General features: G+C 51.7%; 1 protein-coding gene across 12 annotated transcripts in view, besides 3 other annotated features; it reads left to right on the top strand.

The window, feature by feature from the left end:
• Positions 1-19,055, top strand: part of ERGIC1 (endoplasmic reticulum-golgi intermediate compartment 1) — a 118,433-nt gene that overhangs the window by 84,847 nt on the left and 14,531 nt on the right. For 3 of the 12 annotated variants that reach the window (NM_001031711.3, XM_011534597.2, XM_047417411.1), the window contains 4 exons: positions 4,908-5,012; positions 7,412-7,472; positions 13,339-13,439; positions 16,091-16,213. In NM_001031711.3, coding sequence (NP_001026881.1) covers positions 4,908-5,012; positions 7,412-7,472; positions 13,339-13,439; positions 16,091-16,213 — 390 coding nt within the window. Of the gene's footprint in view, positions 1-83; positions 3,206-4,907; positions 5,013-7,411; positions 7,473-13,338; positions 13,440-16,090; positions 16,214-19,055 lie in introns of those variants that run through there. The other 9 variants (XM_047417410.1, XM_047417406.1, XM_047417404.1 and 6 more) reach the window with 5 other exon arrangements.
• Positions 1,119-1,763: an enhancer, noted in NCBI's record as "H3K27ac-H3K4me1 hESC enhancer chr5:172347219-172347863 (GRCh37/hg19 assembly coordinates)". NCBI's record gives its function as "activates a minimal SCP1, AML or CMV promoter by ChIP-STARR-seq in primed H9 embryonic stem cells {active_cell/tissue: H9 hESC(primed)}" and the evidence as "EXISTENCE:reporter gene assay evidence [ECO:0000049][PMID:30033119]".
• Positions 12,213-12,282: a silencer, noted in NCBI's record as "silent region_16631". NCBI's record gives its function as "represses an Ori minimal core promoter by ATAC-STARR-seq in GM12878 lymphoblastoid cells {active_cell/tissue: GM12878}" and the evidence as "EXISTENCE:reporter gene assay evidence [ECO:0000049][PMID:35858748]".
• Positions 13,230-13,299: an enhancer, noted in NCBI's record as "active region_23649". NCBI's record gives its function as "activates an Ori minimal core promoter by ATAC-STARR-seq in GM12878 lymphoblastoid cells {active_cell/tissue: GM12878}" and the evidence as "EXISTENCE:reporter gene assay evidence [ECO:0000049][PMID:35858748]".

The following is a 19,055-nucleotide window of genomic DNA, read 5'->3' on the forward strand; positions in this document are numbered from 1 at the left end:
CCCGCCGTTGGTGGCCCATGTTCTATAACGGGGGGACAGCCAGTGCTCAGGTAAACAGGAAATATGTGATTTTGATAAAGCAGCCGTGAAGAGAATGACGGGGTGCTGTGGTGGAGAATGAAGGAGGAGACCCCTGAGGTTACAAAGGAAGCCCTGTCTGAAGACTGAAGATGAAGATGCACAGATGAACAGACGTACACGCACACCTCCTCACTGTGGGCCCCCCGCCCCCGGGGAGATGCAACCACCTGGGCTGAAAAAATATATGTACCCCAGATGGTGACCAAGAAGGGATCGTGCTTATTCAAGCACCTGGAGTGACAACCCACGAGACAGCCCTGCCACCAAGCCCTCCCACCTCTTGGCAAACACGCCCAAGACTGCAGTCTGCTCCCCTTAGAATGGGCTGTGCTGGAGCCCCCAGCCAGCTCTGGGTGAACTTGTCCTTTGGGGTCAGACAGACCTGTGGTCAAGGATCCCGGCTACCATGGTCACTGGTTGAATGACTCTGGGCAGTTTAGCTTCTCTGAGCCTCAGGTTCCTCATCTGTAGAATGGGGATAATAATACCTCACAGGCTGTGAAACATGAACAAACTCTGCAGTAGAGACTGGACAAGCATCCTGGCCTGCCTCATCTCCCGTCAGTGCAAAGTTTCCATGACCTCATCAGCTGGCACCCACCTTACAAGTGCGCCTGTGGAAGGCACATGGAGGGCGTCCAAGAAATGGGCCTTCTCTGGTCAGGGGAGTGCCAGGGAGTCTTTGAAAGGCTCACACCAGCCTTTCTTAGACCCGCGTTATGGCTGCCACGTACTAGGTTCTTACCCAGCCCTTTCCACATATTAGCTCCTTTAGTCCTCACAGTAGCCTGGAGGAAACTGAGGCACAGGAGGTTAAGTGACCTGGTCAAGGTCACGCAGCCAGGATTTTAACACAGGCAGCCTAGCACCAGGGCCCTGGCCCTCTGAGCTCACTGCCTGTGGCTGCTTCTCCCAACATCTTGGTTACACATGTCATGACCAGCTGTGTCTGTGTGCCCCAGGTCACAGCCTAGGGCACCCTCTGCCCCATACTCCTGGAGGGAGTAGAGACCGTCCCCCACCCCAGCCCAGCCACTTTCCCTTTGAGGAACCGCCCATCAAGAGGTGCTCAAAGAAGCCACCAGGGTCCATGTGCTGTGATGGCAAGGTCAGCAGCCAGCCCCCGCACCTCTCTCCCAGCATCAGGCTGAGACTTGTCCCATGGCCTCCTTATCCGACCCCCAGGAAGTTGACCAGCAGCCAGATGTCAGAGTTTGCGTGTTTTGAGCAGCAGCGGCAGCCTCACCAGAGACCCCACGGTGACCTCGTTTCATCAGCCAGCCCCGCAGGAGGAGGACAGGATGGGGTGAGGGGTATGGGGCCTGGCTCCAGCTATATGTTTTTAAAATCCATCAGAGACACTGACGTAGGTTCCTAAGTCACAGGCTCTAAAAGCGTTGCTGTTTCTTTCTTCAGCCCAGCATGTGCTGGCATGAGTCAGCCACCTGTGATGGATTTGGTGTGGAGGGGGAGTGGGTTCCTGAGTCACAGCCTCGCACGGCCCGGCAGGGGTGGCAGGTGCTGAGGGGACAGCCTTCTTGACTCACTTCACTCCCGGAGCACGCGGCCCAGGCCCCAATCCCAGTTCTGAACTCTGCCATGGCCCGATCTGCGGAAGGCCCTGTGTCACTGCGTAGAAAACCTCTGGGAGGACACACGCCTTATGGCTGTGGGTTTCTTACTCCCAGGGGTGGTCAGCAACAGGGTCTTTAGTCTGACTGTGTCTCATGACTGTTTTATCATGAAAATGTACCCAGGCATTATTTTTATCGGTGAAAATGAGGCATAAATGTTAAAACCCACAGTGGGCTTTTCCTCACGCCCTGCCTGTGAGTGTTCCCTCTTCCGGGAGGGCCCTTCTTGGTTGGCTCCGATGACAAACATGTTCACCCTACAAACCCGATCTGAGGCCAGCTGCGGGCTGCTTTGTATGCATCACCTCAATGAATCCTCCCAGTAATCTTCTGGCTTTACGCCCATTTCGCTGATGGAGAAACTGAGGCATGGAGTGGTTACTGACCTCGCCTAAGGCTCCCCAGCTAGGAAGTGGGGCTGGGCTTGGGGCCAAGTGTAGAACTCAGAGCAACCGCTCTACTATGGGTTATTGGGTCCCTGAAGCAGGCGATGCTGTCCCTCGAGGGAGATCTTGCCACGCCTTTGTTTCTGCTCCACTCCTGACCCAGCAAGTGTCCCTTCTCCACTGTAGCCTGCAGCTCGCTCCACTGCGAGTTTGCTGAGGCCGAGGCTACAGGCTGTCAGCTTGATGCCTCCCCTGTCAGCCACAAGCTCGGGCCCTGCTGAAGTAGGAATATTCCTGCAGGAAGTCCCCAACTTTGTGTTTGAAACAGACATGCTTACAAAATCAGACTTTGATGGGCTGCTGCACGATAAGCTATATTCCCTCCTCGGACACAGCTCGCACAGTCTTCTTCATTGGGCTGGAATAAGGTAACCCCCGAGTTTTTCAGTGTGGCATCTGGGGACCTTTGATAAACAGCCCCAACTCCTCCCTTGTGCCTCTTTGTTTCCTGCTGCTGCCAGCACCGCCACCTCCGTCTCATTTGGAGTTCAATAATACCAGACTCTTAGTTCCTTAGACAGCCCACATGCTGGGAAGTTTCTGTCCTCTGCACCTGTTCATGCTGTTCCCTCTGCCCAGATGCCTTTCGCTCTCTTCCTGAGTAATGCAGACTCATCTTCAGAGCCTTAACACAGGATGTCCTTCCCCCTGGGAAGCCCTCCCTGAATACAGCCTGCACCCTCAATTGAGCCGGGGGCCTTCCCTGTAACCCCCATGGTCTGCAAATTCCTCTGGGCCAGGGTGGATCCCACAGAGTCTCATTGTCTGTTCCAAGTCTGTGTCACAGGGGCTTGGCCAAGGCCAGATTCTTGTCTGCTCATCTCCCCAGTTCCGGCATCTCCTGAAGGACTGGCGCCATGTGGCCATCAGCCCAGGCTGCGGAGGTAGATGGCATCCAGGCATCAGAGGAGGGAGCAGTGCGTCCAACAGACGTGAGCTGAGACTGCAGCTCTCGACATGTGACCTTAGCAAGTTTCTTCACTGCTCTGAGCCTCCATTTTCTTTTCTGTAAAATGGGAATTATCAGATGACAAAGTCAAAGGATTCAGTGTTGTTTGTTTAGTCATTCATTCATTCAAAAAGTGTCTATTGAGCACCTGCTATGTGTCGGAGTCTGGGGAGCACAGCAGGGCGTGGACATGCTAATGGGAGGAGGCAGACGAGAACAGGATGGGTATGAGATGGCAGGTGATCCCAGAGGCTGTAGCAGGTAAGGGGATGGGGAATGGGGGCCAGGGTGCTCTTTTGCACAGGTGGACGTGGAGGGCCTCTCTGTTGGGCCCTGAGGGTCCGAGGGAGGGCCATGTGGAAGAGGGTCCCAGGAAGGGGTGCAGGCACAAAGGCCTAAAATGGGGCCACACTGGATGCTGTTCCCGGCACGGCAGGAGACCAGACAGGAAGCAGCAGAGGACACAGCAGCAGGAGGCCAAGCGGTGGGGACACGATGCTTGGCCAGCGGCCAGATGTGGCCTGTGGGCCACCACGAGGACATGGACCTGGACTCTGAGAGAATAGAAGCCGTGGAGGGTTCTGGGCAGAGGAGTGATGAGATCTGATGTAGGGTTTAAAAAGATCTTAACAGTCATTATTGGGAAAAGGCCCAGGCTGTGGGGAACATGGAAGCTGGGAGCCCAGGGAGGAGCCTGCCATTGTTGTCCATGAAGAGACGACCTTGGACCAGGGCAGCAGAGAAGAGGTCAGGCGCCAGGTGTGTTTGGAAGGTGGAGCTAACAGGGTTTCAGCTGATGGATGGGACGTCGGGAGTGAGAAAGGGGGGTTCCAGGATCATACCAAGGGTTCTAGTCTGAGCATCTAGGAGGAGGAGGAGGAGGAGGGTTCCAGGATCATACCAAGGGTTCTAGTCTGAGCATCTGGGAGGAGGAGGAGGAGGAGGGTTCCAGGATCATACCAAGGGTTCTAGTCTGAGCATCTGGGAGGAGGAGGAGGAGGAGGGTTCCAGGATCATACCAAGGGTTCTAGTCTGAGCATCTGGGAGGAGGGAGGAGGGTTCCAGGATCATACCAAGGGTTCTAGTCTGAGCATCTGGGAGGAGGAGGAGGGTTCCAGGATCATACTAAGGGTTCTAGTCTAAGCATCTGGGAGGAGGAGGGGGAGGAGGGGGAGGAGGAGGGACTTCGTGCTGAAACAAGGAGAAGCTGCAGTGGCTCCTGCCACATGGTTGTCACCAGCATCCTTTGTTCTGTAAATACTCATCCAGCACCTCTTGCTGGCTTGGCTCTGCGAGGGCTTGAGACCCAGGGAAGAGATGAGGCTACCACAGTCTGTCCATCAGGGATCCCCCGTCTAGGGCACTGGGGCAAACTTGGGTAGGAAATGATAGGGGTTTGGAGTCTGAGGAATCCCCATTAGTCTGCAAGCTCAAAGGTCATCCCCCAGCTGACTGTGGGGTCAGCCGCCCAGAATCCACAGAGCTGGAGGGGGAGCAGCTGCCATGAGTCCTGGCTTTGTGCCCGTCGCCCAGATGGGCACTTCACATGCACCCTCTCACCAGATAGTCCTGGCAGCCCCCTCGGAAGCTATGGTAGTGCCCCCATTCTGCAGATGAGGAGCCTGAGGCCCAGAGAGATGGGGTGACTCCTTTGCACAGTTGAAAATGATACAAGCAGGATCCAAACCCAGATCTGCCTGATTCCAGTGTCCTCCCTGGATCACACAGGGTGAGGCCCCAATGTTCCGCCCCCTGGAGAAGTCAACCAAACTCCTGAAACTCACATTTCTCCCCCAGGTCCCCGGCAACTTCCACGTGTCCACACACAGTGCCACAGCCCAGCCACAGAACCCAGACATGACGCATGTCATCCACAAGCTCTCCTTTGGGGACACGCTACAGGTGAGCAGGGGACACTCGAGATGGCATGGCCGGGGGTGGGCCTTCAGGGGCTCTGTCACCCAGTGCCCTCTGCCCTCTCTGGGCACTAGGAAGAGTTACCGTTAAGGTGACATCTAAGCCAAGCCTGGAAGGGTAAGAAGGGTTTCACCAGGAACAGAACAGGGAAATGGGTCCTAGGCAGGGGGCGTCTCAAACATCACCCCTCTCCTAGAGCGCCCAGCTGGTGGTTTTCATGTGAAAGACCCTCAAGGTTACTTTCAGAAAAATGGATCAGTAAGCGTATGTGACACGGCATGTTCTGTGCCGAGATGGTCCAGGGCACAAGGGCTCGCTTGGCAGCTGAGAGGGCCCAGAGCACTTGCCTGAAATGGGAGCCGGCAGGTGGGGTGTGTGGGGTGCGAGAGACCCGTGGTAGACTGAGGAAGGTGGAGACTGAAGGTCTGGTTGGTGACTCAGAGCACCCATCTGCAATGAGGAAGATGGACCCAGGAGGCAAGACTATAGGCAGGGAGGTGAGGGAAGGGCCCAGACCGAGGCAGGTGGAGGGGAGAGGAGCAGCGGTCTCGCATTGCCACGTGCAGGGGCAAAACAGAAGGACACAGAAACTACAGTCCCAAGTTTAGTCATTAGTGGGGTGGAAATCTGATTTTTTTAAAAAAATGTACAGAACTTAGCTTAGGGCCCATCCATCCATTCATTTTCTGTCCATCCATCTAGTCAACAAATATTTACAAAGTACCTACCGTGTCCAGGCCTTGCATACCTTGGTGAGGACAAACATGGTCCCTGCCCACCTGGAGCTTCCAGTCTAGGGGGGAAGACAGATGTTGATCAAATAATGGTACAGGCCAGGTGCGGTGGCTCACTCCTGTAATCCCAGCACTTTGGGAGGCTGAAGCGGGCGAACTGCTTGAGGTCAGAAGTTTGAGACCAGCCTTGCCAACATGGTGAAACTCTGTCTCTACTAAAAATACAAAAATTAGCCGGGCGTGGTGGCAGGCACCTGTGATCCCAGCTACTCAGGAGGCTGAGGCAGGAGAATCACTTGAACCTGGGAGGTGGAGATTGCAGTGAGCTGGTATCATGCCACTGCACTCCAGCCTGGGAGAAAGAGTAAGACTCCTCCCAAAAAAAGAAAAAATAAAAATAAAAATAAATGGTACAAATAAATGTGAGATAAAGCCATGTCACATGACAATGGAAGAGAACATTCTAGCCTTCTTGTCTCTGTAACCACCGTTCTCATGGGTTAGAAATGAAGCCTTCACACGGTCAGTCTCAAGACAGCAAATAGACAAACTTCCTTTTCCTTGTTGAGAAATTGCAGTTCCTTCCAGTTGTTGAGGAATTGCTTGTTGAGAACATGCAGGTGTGTTAAGTGCTCAGTAAACATCAGCCGCCTGAGACCAGGATCAGGGATTATGCCACCCCGCTGCTGCCCACTGCTCCTGGAGTGGCCACAGAATCATGTCCCCACGTACCTCTCCGATGTCTCCTCCTTCCTTCTATTCAAACACCTCACTCTCCTTCCTCCTGGGGGCCACGTGGGCCTGTCTCCATACTTAAGCCTTTGTACATGCTGCTTGCCAGTTTAACTTCCCACTTTCCTCCAGATCTTGGTGTCAATGTCATTTCCTCCAGGAAGGCCTCCAGGGTGTCTAGCTCGATAACCCCTGTTAACCATGCCCATGGTAGCATGCTCCATTTACCAGGTATGCCTTGTCCTTCTTTAGATGTTCCTTGAGGCCAACCTGGTTTCCCATTGTCCTCAGAGAAAAGGTGAGATGTGGTTTTCAGCCCTACTCTACAGCAGCCCACCCCACTGCCCGGAGGAGGGTTTTCTTCACATCTGCTATACGTTCTCTGCAGCAGACATGATGGGGGGCCCACAGCTCTGGGGCATCCCTGCCTGGACTCCTCTATGGGCCTTTCAGAGGACCCTGGGATCTCAGGAGAAACTTTCTGGGACCCAGAATCCATGTTCACTTGAATTTTCTGTGTGACTTCATGGAAAGAGTCCAGCTTAGTGTCAGACAGACCTGATTTCAGAGTTTAGCTTAGCCACTTACCAGCCGGGCAAGTTTTGGTGTCTTTCCAAGCCTTGATTTGCTCTTCTGTAAAATGGGCCCAATAATACATCATTAGGGGCATGAAATGAAATTATATGAAGGGGCCAGGATGGAGCAGCACATAGTAGGGGCTAGAGATGGGAAACAAGCTTGTGCCTACTATGTGCCAGGCCCCTGCTGCCTCTTGCTCCCCACAAATCCGCTGGAGCCCCCTTTTACACATTGGTAGGGTTCCTAGACCAGGTGGTACCTGGCCATCCCCCACAACCAGGGCCAGGCCTGGAGGTGGAGGTGTCCTGGGGACCATCCCCTCACTGCATTTTTCCACAGGTCCAGAACATCCACGGAGCTTTCAATGCTCTCGGGGGAGCAGACAGACTCACCTCCAACCGTATGTATCCCTGCTGGGAACAGCCTTCTGCTCCAAGATGCCCAGTACAGCAGGCAGGGAGGGGGAGGGCAGAGAGGTGGGGGTGCCTGTCCAGCACCCACTCCAAGGCAGGGAGGCTGCTGCTCACACTCCATTCCCACAGCTAACCAGTGGGAAGGTGGACCCAGCCCCGTCCAGACCCAGACCCTGATGGAGAAGGAAGAAGGCTTGTCCCGGGGCACAGCAGACGCACGCACGCAGTGGATACCAGCTATTACCATTATTGTTGCTCTCATCACAGCCACATCATCATCCTTAGTTGAACTAATTACCTAAGATCCCACAGGGAGCTATGGCAGAACCAGGATCTGTTCTGCCTCCAGGTCGCACCGTGAGAACAGGTCTGTGGGTGGCCCAGTCAGCTGTGACCACATGGCTGCCTCCCCCACACCTCACTCTCCTCCTGCTCAGACTCCTCCCATCGATAGTGGCTCCTCCTAGAGTCCTCGCCCTCCTTAGCTCCCTGGCACCTTGGCCCAGATCAAAGAGAACCGCACATCTCCACACGCAGACAGGAGAGCACGCATACCTTTCGTGCACACCAACACACATGAGCTCACATGGCCCCAGACACGTGCACAGAATGGGCCCGGGAGGCCTGTGTGCTCAAGCAGACCTGCAGACCCACTGCTGCACAGGGTACCTGGATTTTTCTTATTTCCTCACCTGAGCTCACCTTTTAACCCACATCTTTTCTTATTATTTCCTGAAATGCGTTTGCTCTCCCATTGTCAGGGATCCAAGGCAAAGAAAACATCCCTCTGTGACCTGCCCCCCCGACAAATCGAACCTCATTTTTCTGTGTCCCTGTGAGTCCTTGTCCATAAGCAGAACTCACTTTTCTTTTTTTCCAAGGCATGGATTGCAGTTTACCGTCTGCTTTTTGTACTTGACCTTATTACATAGCCACGATTTTCTTACTTTCCAGTTGTAATGGGAGCACAGTTGTCCATCTTGCAGCTCTGCTGTGCTTTTTTTTTTTTTTTTTTGAGACGGAGTCTTACTGTGTCACCCAGGCTGGAGTGCAGTGGCACAGTCTCGGCTCACTGCAACCTCAGCCTCCCGGGTTCAAGCAATTCTCCTGTCTCAGTCTCCCGAGCAGCTGGGATTACAGGTGCCTGCCACAATGCCCAGCTAATTTTCTGTATTTTTAGTTGAGACAGGGTTTCACCACGTTGGCCAGGCTGGTCTTGAACTCCTGACCTCAGGTGATCTGTCCCCACTCTGCTCTGCTTTTCTAAGTCATTGTCTTCTCACCGAAAGTGTCTGTCGTTTCCTGTGTTTCACTGTGGCAATAATGCCTCTGATATGTACAGGGTTGGCGCTCTGTTACCCGATTGCTTTCCAGCTGTGTCTGGTTCCCATTCATGCTGCCTCCAGCAACGGATAAGTATACGGCAGCACCTCCTTATTTGAGTGCAAATGTCTGGTTGTAATAGAGGTAGATGATTCTTGGTGTGGTGCCGTGGTCATTGTCGTTTTGTGTCATGGTAACATGTCATCCGACGTCGGCCGTCCACAAATGTCTGCAGCTACGATGGACCCTCAGCTGCTGGACAGGAAAGAGGATCAAGCTAAGAAGGCCCAGAGTGTGCAAGCAGAGAGAGGGTGTGGACAGAAAACCTTGCCTTCTCCAGGGCTAGTGGCGAAAGCTATCTCAGGCTGGCTCAAGTGGAGAGAAAAAAGCATGAGATCAAGCAATGGACAGCTGGGGAAGGGCTGGCTTTTATTTCCTCAGCTCCCAAGCTCAGTCCCTGGCACTGGGCCGTTGCCTTTGTAGGTCCCTCTGTGCCCAGGTCTTGCTATGGGGGTTGTTTCTTGGCATTAAGGTCTCAGTTCAAACGCCACCGTCTCCAAGAAGCCCTCACTGGTCACCCTATCTAAAGTAACCCTCACTCCTAAGGACAAACCTGTTTTTTCTTCCTAGCATAGACCACTCTCTGAAATCACCTTGTTCTCCCAGTCATCTGCTGCCCTTGGCTGTTGCGCCAGCTATAACATGGCACTCTGCCTTGCCCACTGCTTTGTCCCCAGGACCCAGCCCTGTACCCAGGGTATAGTAGGTATATGATCGATGATAAGAGGCCTGGAGGCCACTATGGAAGAGCTCCTGCCAGATGGTGGTGGAGTGCGGTCATGAGGACCTCGGCCTCCAGTGTCCCCCTCCACTCTTTCCCAGCCCTGTGGTCTTGGGAAAGTCATTTAACTCTGCTAAGCCTCAGTTTCTGCATGTGTAAAGTGGGAAGAATCCTCTCCACCTTAAGCCTTGCTATGAGGATTAATGAGATGCGTGTACAGAGTTTAGTACACGGCCTGCCACATTGTGAGTGCTCAATAAATGTTGGCCGTTCTCTTCATTATCGTCAGCAGCTAACTTCAGGAACGAGATCCCCTAGGGCAGAATCTAAGGAGAAACTTTCCTATATCAAATTGTATCTTGTATTGTGGTACTGAATTGTTTAACTGGTCCTGAATGATATAACTGGAATGAAACCAGCTTGTCATGTATATGTATACACATAATATGGGCTGTCATATATATATATGTGTGTGTGTGTGTGTGTATATAAGTATACACACACATACATATATATGGGCTGCTGGTTTTAAGAATGCAGATTCTGGGCCCCACTCCAGTGGCGGGATAGGGATGAAACAAGATTGGCCATACGCTGGTAATTGCTGAAGTTGGGAAATGGGTACGTGGGAGTCCATTATACAATTCCCTATGTTTTAGGTTTGAATTTTTCTGTAAGAAGATTTTGCGGGTAGGGGAGGAGGAGTGAGCTTGAAGGGAATGTGGGCTGGCCTAGACCAGGTTGGAGCCAGCAGTCTCTAGGAATGGTCAGCTCACAAGGAATCCACATGGGTGTAATTAACTGCAGTGTCTCCAGTGGGCATTTGGCAAATTGTATCAAAGGCCTTAAAAATGGTCATTGCCTTTGAGTCATCAATTGTACTCATAGGAGAGTAAGCTAAGGAAATAATTAAGAGAGTGTACAAAAATCTAGGAAAATAATGTTCATTAGGTCATTGTTTATAAAATTGAAAATGAGGAACCACGTCAGTGTCCAGCCATAGGGGGTTGACTGAGCATGGTAACTGCCCAAGATGAGCGAGGTGTGTCAGGACCTTACTGGCAGTCAGGCAGCAAAGATTTATTGAGCACCTACTATATGCTGGGCATTGGGCTAGGTTCTGGGGATAGAGAGATGAATAAAACAAACTCTGCAGAGCTTATGTTCTGTGTCTTAGACCTGAAAAGTTGATCATGATGTTCAGTTCTTAGAAAAAGATGGCTGGGCGCGGTGGCTAACGCCTGTAATCCCAGCACTTTGGGAGGCCAAGTCGGGTGGATCACGAGGTCAGGAGTTCAAGACCAGCCTGGCCAAGATGGTGAAACCCCCATCTCTACTAAAAATACAAAAAATTAGCCAGGCGTGGTGGCAGGCGCCTGTAGTCCCAGCTACTCAGGAGGCTGAGGAAGGAGAATCACTTGAACCCAGAGGGTGGAGGTTGCAGTGAGCCGAGATCGTGCCACTGCACTCCAGCCTGGGTGACAGAGTGAAACTCCGTTTCAAAAAAAAAAAAAAAGATACGGTATGGTCCTATTTTAGGAAAATACAAATATATGTATAAACATGTCTGGCAGTTTATATGTGAGACTGTGAACCATAGTTTTCTGAGGATGGTGAATTTATGGTGATTTTTTGTTTTGTCCTTGGTGATCACCTGTGTTTTGTACAATTTTTTTTTTTTTGAGATGGAGTCTCGCTCTGTTGCCCAGGCTGGAGTGCAGTGGCAGCTCACTGCAACCTCCACCTCCCGGGTTCAAGCGATTCTCCTGCCTCAGCCTCCCTAGTAGCCGGGACTACAGGTGTGTGCCACCAGGCTTGGCTAATTTTTGTATTTTTAGTAGAGATGGGGTTTCACCATGTTGGCCAGGTTGGTCTTGAACTCCTCACCTCAAGTGATCCTCCCACCTCGGCCTCCCTAAGTGCTGGGATTACAGGCGTGAGCCACCACATCCGGCCTTGTACAAATTTTAACAAGAAATATTACAGGGGTGATTTTGATAAGGCATTCACTTTTTCATTCCTTCAAGTTTTTAACCTAGGGCAATGGGCGTTTGGACACCACTATCAAGCGTGGTCTTGGGCTCTTGTTTTAAAAATGCAAATTCTGAGCTCCACCCTTGACCCATTTGGCGGGATGCTCCTGGAAAGAGGTCCAGGTGTCTTTTTATTCCAAATGATTCGACTGCTTCTGACATCTGAGAACCATTACAGGGTTGAACAGAGGGATGTTGGAGTCTTCATGGACTGGGCTCTGCGGCTGCAGGACTTTTCTCGGGTTTTCAGAGGAACCTACTCAAAACAATTCAAGAAGCACTTCCTTTGCTTACTGAGATATGGCTTTGGCAGGAAGGGGCAGGGAGGGAGTGTCAGGGCAGTGAATGCTGTCTGCATTCCCAGCCTTCTTACAGAAGAGGACTGACTCGACTCTGCGACCAGGCTTAGAACCCACAGGCCTAAATTTCTGTGTTATTTTAGCTCTGTAGTCCGTGACCCGAGATTGTGGAAGGCCCATGAGCTTCCTGTAAGCATCCCAGAAGGCCCAGGAGAGTTCATACCTTTCCTGAGTGATATTTGGCAGCTCTGGGCCAGCATTCTATCAGCCCAGCATTGGATTCCAGTTACCTCACGCTTATCAGCAGCTGATTCATCTGTGCTTTCATTCATGCCCCTGTCCAATCATCCTTCCATCCGTTCATTCATTCAGTAAGCATTTGCCACGGTCCACTTGGTACCAGGCCCTGCACGGGGCTCTGGGGACACAGAGTTGAGTAAGGCTCCATCCCTGCCTTCAGCAGCTCCCCCATCCAGGAAGAACTGATCTGCCGTTGATTTCTTTCCCCATTCTCAGTTCATCAGTGCTTCATTGGTGCAGTTTTTCTGGTTGATAGGCTCTTTTCTTTTTAATACTGAAACCTAGTTTGTTTTAAAAGTAAAACTATTCAGACAATGTCAGAGGATGTACAATGAAATGGGATCTTTCTCAAATCCTGCCTTCCTCCCCAGAAGCTAAAGCTGCCCGTGGTTCCTTGGGCATCTTTCCAGATAATTCTCCTATATATTTACATGGATACAGAGTGTCTCCTCCTCCCCCAATCCATGGACACATGTGTATCCTGTCCCATGACTTGGTTCTTTTCCCTGTTGGAGAATAGCTGCTCCTAGCACCCACACTTTTTTTTTTTTTTTTTTTGAGACAGAGTCTTGCTCTATCGCCCAGGCTGGAGTGCAGTGGCATGACCTTAGCTCACTGCAACCTCCGCCTCCCAGGTTCAAGCGATTCTCCTGCCTCAGCCTCCTGAGTAGCTGGGATTACAGGCACCTGCCACCACGCCTGGCTAATTTTTGAATTTTTAGTAGAGACGGGGTTTCACCATCTTGGGCAGGCTGGTCTCGAACTCCTGACTGCAGATGATCCACCCACCTCGGCCTCCCAAAGTGCTGGGATTACAGGCGTGAGCCACCACGCCTGGCCAACACTCACTCTTTCATGGTTGCTCTATTGATGGACATTTGGGTTGTTTCCAGAATTTTAATGATGTGCACAGTGCAGGAGGAAAGATCCTGATGGATAGAGTCTCCCAATTCCCGGTATCCAAGGGGAGAAGATGAAGAGCAGTTGGTTGGTGGTAAAACTGGGGAATGAGCCCCCTGCCGTGCCCAGGGAATTTAGGCTTAGGATTGAAATGACATAGAGCTGTCAGCGGGCAGTGCCCGTCCCCCTGCTTCATTCTGCTGTGTCCTTCCCGCAGCCCTGGCCTCCCACGACTACATCCTGAAGATTGTGCCCACGGTTTATGAGGACAAGAGTGGCAAGCAGCGGTACTCCTACCAGTACACGGTGGCCAACAAGGTGCGCGGGCGGTGGCTGGGCCGAGCTGTGTGCGGCGGCGCCCTCTGCTGACGGAGAGCAGAGATGACAGGCGGCTGCACCGACGCACTTTCTTCTGATTCCTTTCTGGAGGCCTTTCCTGGGGGTTAGCTTGGGCCAGGCGCTGTCCCTGGGTAAAATTGAAAAGCCCAGTCCCTGCCATGTGGCAGTCTCAGAGTCAAGGAGAACAGATCTAACCAGGAGATAGGGTGTGATGCGTTTGACAAAGAGCAGGTAGTCTCTGTCCTACAAAGGTCCTGGGGTTGCAGGTCTCAAACAGCCCTGCATCTGGTCCGAGTCCTTCAGACACAGACCCCTGGGTGCTCAACACAGACAGACACTCCTGCTCTCAGGGCACAGGCACTTTACCCAAACTCATGAGGCTACTGAGTCACACCAAGATGGCTGTTGATTAATTTGCTGTTGATTGACAGGGGTGTCCCCAGGACCCCAACACTCAAAGTCATGGAGAAGACGCCAGGCCTTAGTGGGCAGCAGAGCATGGTCAGAGTCTGCAGAGTGGGATGACCCAGCAATTAGTGGTCTCAAGACAAGACAGCCTTGGGCTTCCCTGGGGGTATCCCACCAATGGGACATGAATACTTGAAACCTGTTGGTTGAAATGCCCCTGCTAGACCCTGGCGGATGGGTTTTTCCCACTTACCACCAGGACTGTCCTTTTTCTTCTGTTCCAAGGCTGCCCAAACCCCTTATAAGTGATACCTGTTTAGCTCAGTTAATTATAACAACAGTAGGAGGCATAGCTGTCACTCATTGAGTACTTCCTGGGGGCTAGACATGCTAAGCTCTCTTCTTCCGTCTTCTCAATCATCATGACAGCTCTGATGTTGAGACTGTTATTGAGCCCATTTTGTTGATTTGACCATTGAGGCACTGAGAGGTGGTTGTAGAGCTATAAAGTGGCTGAGTGGGGATTAGAACAGGTTTTCCTTGGGCTCCAGAGCCTGGCTTCTTGATCACCTCACGCCTCGGTCTGAGGAAGGGGCTGTGAGTCTGCCCACCTGCGAGCTGCTCTCTGTCCAATGACTTAGTCCCTCTGTTCTGACTCACCCTAAATTGATGTTCCCGGGAGCCCCTGTTTCTTTTATTCACTGTTTCACAGGGGGCATCTCATTGTAACCCTCACATGCTCATAGCAGCTAACAGATGGAAAAGCACAGATGCAAGCTCAGGACCACGCTGCAGTTCAAATTCCAGCTCAGTCATTCACTAGCTATTGACCCCGGACATGTCACATAGCCACTGTGTGCCTCAGTTTACTCATTCATAAAATGGAGATGATACTTTATAAGAGTGCTGTCACATGAGGCAATGTTTTCAAAAATGCCTAGCCCACCAAAAAAAAAAAGCCTTTAGGTAAGTGATACTGACTGCTGCTATTTTTCACTCTTTTTCTCTGTCCCTCAGCTCTGGGTTGTGACCCAGACAGTCATCCTGCCCCAGCAGCTCTCCTGGAGAAAGCTGGTCTTCCCTTGCACAAAGCTCCTTTTCCCAATGCTTTGGCAAGGCCCAGCAGCCAAATACAGCTTGCTTAGCTTCTCTATGGCTGCAGCCGCACTCTGCCCTGGGAGCAGGCAGCAGCGACCCAGCGGGAGGTCAGGGCTCAGTGTTACTTACCCCCGGAGTGGCCTGGGCTCCTCAGGCTCAGCATGTGGGGTTGGGGGTACCCCAGTGGTTCAATTTGGCCTCCAGTTGTTGCAGACTTTAGCACCTTGAAGTGCCCAAACTGGAGAGATCCCAGGGATCATCATCCCAGGCCCATCCGTGTTTAGATGGGGAAGCCAAGTCCCTGAGGGAGGGAGGGGCTGGCCCAAGGATGCACTGTTAGCTCAGCCTCGTAGTATCCTTAGTCCCTGCTGTGTGCATTCTCAGGAAGGTTGGTGGCAGGGCGGGGCCTTCTGGCTTTGCAGTTCAGTCTATTCCTCTGAAGAAGCTAGCCCACTCCCCACGTGGCATTTACACCCATCACACACACACACACACTGGGACTCCTGCTTATTCATCATGTGTGGCTCAGAATGTCCCCTCCCCAGTCTCCCAGATGCCGCCCGGGAGAATGGGTCATTCATTCATTCCCCTCAACTCTCCATGTTCCTCCATCCCACATGCATGATGTCACAGTGTTAGGGATATTCTTATGTCTTCCTCCTTCTGCAGACTGCGACTCCCTCTGGGTAAAGGGCAGGACTTGCTCACCTCGGGGTCCCCAGCAGCCAGCCATGGGCCACCACAGTGGAGGCGTTCAGCAAACCATTGTTGAATAAATGAATGGATTTCGCGTGGCCCAGAGGTTGAAGGAGGCAATAGCCAAAAATTGCACTTTTCCTTTTACAGCTCTGCTTTCTAATTTATTTTCTGATTCTGGTGCTGCTTGCAGCTCACTTGGTCAATTTCTAAACAACCAAGGGTATCAAAAATGCCCAGCTGTGCACGGCAGAGTTCAGGGCCTCCAGGGGAAGGGATGTGAGAGAGGGAGTGGGGGAGTCTGGCTTCGTGGGGCAGAGAGGGAGGAAAGCCCTTTCTGGAGGGTTGCTGGGGGGCCCTCTGCAATCCAGTCCCCGCCCCCCCTGAGACACAGTTTGTACTTCTGATTCTTATATCCTCTACCCCAGGAATACGTCGCCTACAGCCACACGGGCCGCATCATCCCTGCAATCTGGTTCCGCTACGACCTCAGCCCCATCACGGTCAAGTACACAGAGAGACGGCAGCCGCTGTACAGATTCATCACCACGGTGAGTGGCCTGGGGCAGTGGGTGGGGCCCTGAGCCAGCCACCCTGCGCCTGCTCTGGGCCCCTTTCCTTGGCACCCCTCACCTGTTCTCGCTGAAACAGGAGGCAGCCTGCAGGGCTAGGGGCTCTGGCTGGGCACAGGAGGCTTCGACCCCAAGGATGCTGAGAAATGTTGTCAGAAACACATCAGTATCGATGACGTTTTGTCTAGAAAGTATTTTCCAGAGGGGAATGCCCTGAAATCCATTTAATTCCTGAAGCAAATCTCCATATGGTTCCACTAGATGTTTAGGATTTTCTCCAGCTTTTTATTGTTATGGAAATTATTCTTAGCAGAGTTTATCCTTTAATGTGTAAATTTTGCACCAAAGATTGAACTCATTTTTTTTTCCAGGTCTAATTTCCAGTTATAGCTGCTGATAGGGTCCGATTTTTCCCTTTCCTTCCTCTCTGTTCTCTCTTTTTTGCCATGGTCTCTACCACATCCAGTTTTCTCTAGGGCAGATTCAAGCTGATGTTAGTTTTCCTTTATGCTGATTATTTCTATCATGTCTACTGTTTCCTGGCCTCCCATTCAGAAGGTCCTTAGGGTCAGAACAGGAGGGTCAGGGTGCCCTTCTTCACCCAAGAGGCCCAGGAGGTACTGAAGAAGCCAGAGTTAGCTGAGGTGGAAGAGACAGGGTGGCTATCCCTACTTCACAGATTTGGAAACTGAGACCTAAAGATAAATATGGCATTGGGAGGCCCTTATGCTTCTGTACTTCTTCATGCTTGTAATGATGGTTCAAGATCAAGGGCCTTGGCTCTTTCATTTCCCGCAATAACTAGGTCAGTATTAGTCAGGACTCTGTTACCGAAGATCCAGAACCAGACCTTGAGCTGGCCTGAGGAGTAGAAGGCCTCAGGCATGGCTGGATCCAGCCTCCAACATTGCCAGGAGTAGGTCTCTATCTTCGGATCTGCTTTCCGCTACACTGGCTTCATCTTCAAGTAGAATTTACCAGTAGAAATGGCCTCTTTCTCAGTCATTCTAACCAAGTCCTAGATAGGACAGAGCTCTCACTGGCCCAGCTCAGGCCTCATGCCATCCTTGTGGCCTGGGAAATCAAATGCTCTGGTTGGCCAGGCTTAGGCCCTGTACCCTCTCTGGTGTCAACCCCATCCAAACCGCAGGGACACAGATTGTGAGGAATGAGGTTTCTCAAGAGAAAAGGCAGGGGCCAGCTACTGGAAGAGGAAAGAGTGGGTGCCAGGAGGCAGAACAGTGGGATGTTGTGACAGGGTCTCTGCCTTCTCATCTGTGAAGTAAGAACGATCATCTCTGTTCCTGCCACCTCCCAGGGCCTTGTGGGACTCAGAGGAGATTGTGAAAGGAGAAGCTGTTTGCAGATGTGAAAAGCCAAGTAGGACGGGGCACAGTGGCTCACACTTGTAGTCCCAGCAGTTTGGGAGGCTGAGGCGGGAGGATCGCTTGAGGCCAGGAGTTTGAAACCAGCCTGGGCAACATTGTGAAGGCTTGTCTCTAAGAATCTTCTTAAATTAGCTGGATACGGTGGTATATGCACCTGTAGTCCCAGCTACTTAGGAGGCTGAGGTGAGAGGATCACTTGAGCCCAGGATTTTAAGGTTAGAGTGAGTCATGATCGTGCCACTTCACTCTAGCCTGGGCAACAGAGCGAGACCCTTTCTCTAAAAAACAAAAATCCCCAGAAAACAGACAGAGAGATACAAAGGGTGTCATAAGTCTGGTGCTTACATGAGCCTCAGAACAGTTTTTTGCTGTTCTCTTTGACCACATAAAAGTTAGAAACTCCTGTTCAACAAACGGCACATAACATAAAGCAAAAATCTCACACGCAGCCTGGGAAAAGATACTTGCCATCCAAATGGGAAAGGGGTAGCCTTCAGAATTCATATGTAAAGAACTCCTACAGATCAGTAAGAAAAAGTTAACAACCAAAAAAGCAGACAAGGCCAAGGACCAGCTCTTCACAGAGGAGGTGATATTGGCAGTGAAAAGATGCCCAAGTTCACTAGAAATTGGAGGGATGGGATTTAAAACAAGACTCAATTCAGGCCAGACGTGGTAGCTCACACCTGTAATCCCAGCACTCTGGGAGGTGGAAGCAGGAGGATGACTTGAGGCCAGGAGTTTGAAACCAGCCTGGTCACCGCAGCAAGACCCCCTCCCTACAAAAGAAAAGTTAAAAAATTAGCTAGACATAGTGGTGCATGCCTGTAGTTTCAGCTAGTTGGGAGGCTGAGGTGGGAGGATTGCTTGAGCGTGGGAGGTTGACACTGCAGTGGGCCATGATGGCGCCACTGCCCTCCAGCCTGGGCAACAGTGAGACCCGGTCTCAGAAAAATAAAAAAATTAAAAGACCCAGTTGAATCCTATTGGACTGACAGAAATTGAAAACTTGCCCGGCTCACACCTGTAATTCCAGGACTTTGGGAGGCCGAGGCGGGCAGATCACCTGAGGTCAGGAGTTCAAGACCAGCCTAGCCAACATGACAAAACACTACTAAAAATACAAAAATTAGCGGGGCATGGTGGTGGGCGCCTGTAATCCCAGCTACTTGGGAGGCTGAGGTGGGAGAATTACTTGAACCTGGGAGGGAGAGGTTGCGGTGAGCCAGGATCACTCCAGTGCACTCCAGCCTGGGCAACAGAGTGAGACTCCGTCTCAAAAAAAAAAAAGAAAGAAATTGAAAACCTGCTACTACAAAGATTGGGAAGATGTGAAGCCCTGGGAACCCACATGTGCTATTGGTGTGCAGGGACATGGGTACAGCTACCCTGAGGGGAGATGCACAAACCCCAGGACCCAAAAAATCAGGGGA

Source organism: Homo sapiens, chromosome 5 (assembly GCF_000001405.40).
Source record: "Homo sapiens chromosome 5, GRCh38.p14 Primary Assembly".
In the NCBI taxonomy this organism is placed as follows: domain Eukaryota; kingdom Metazoa; phylum Chordata; class Mammalia; order Primates; family Hominidae; genus Homo; species Homo sapiens.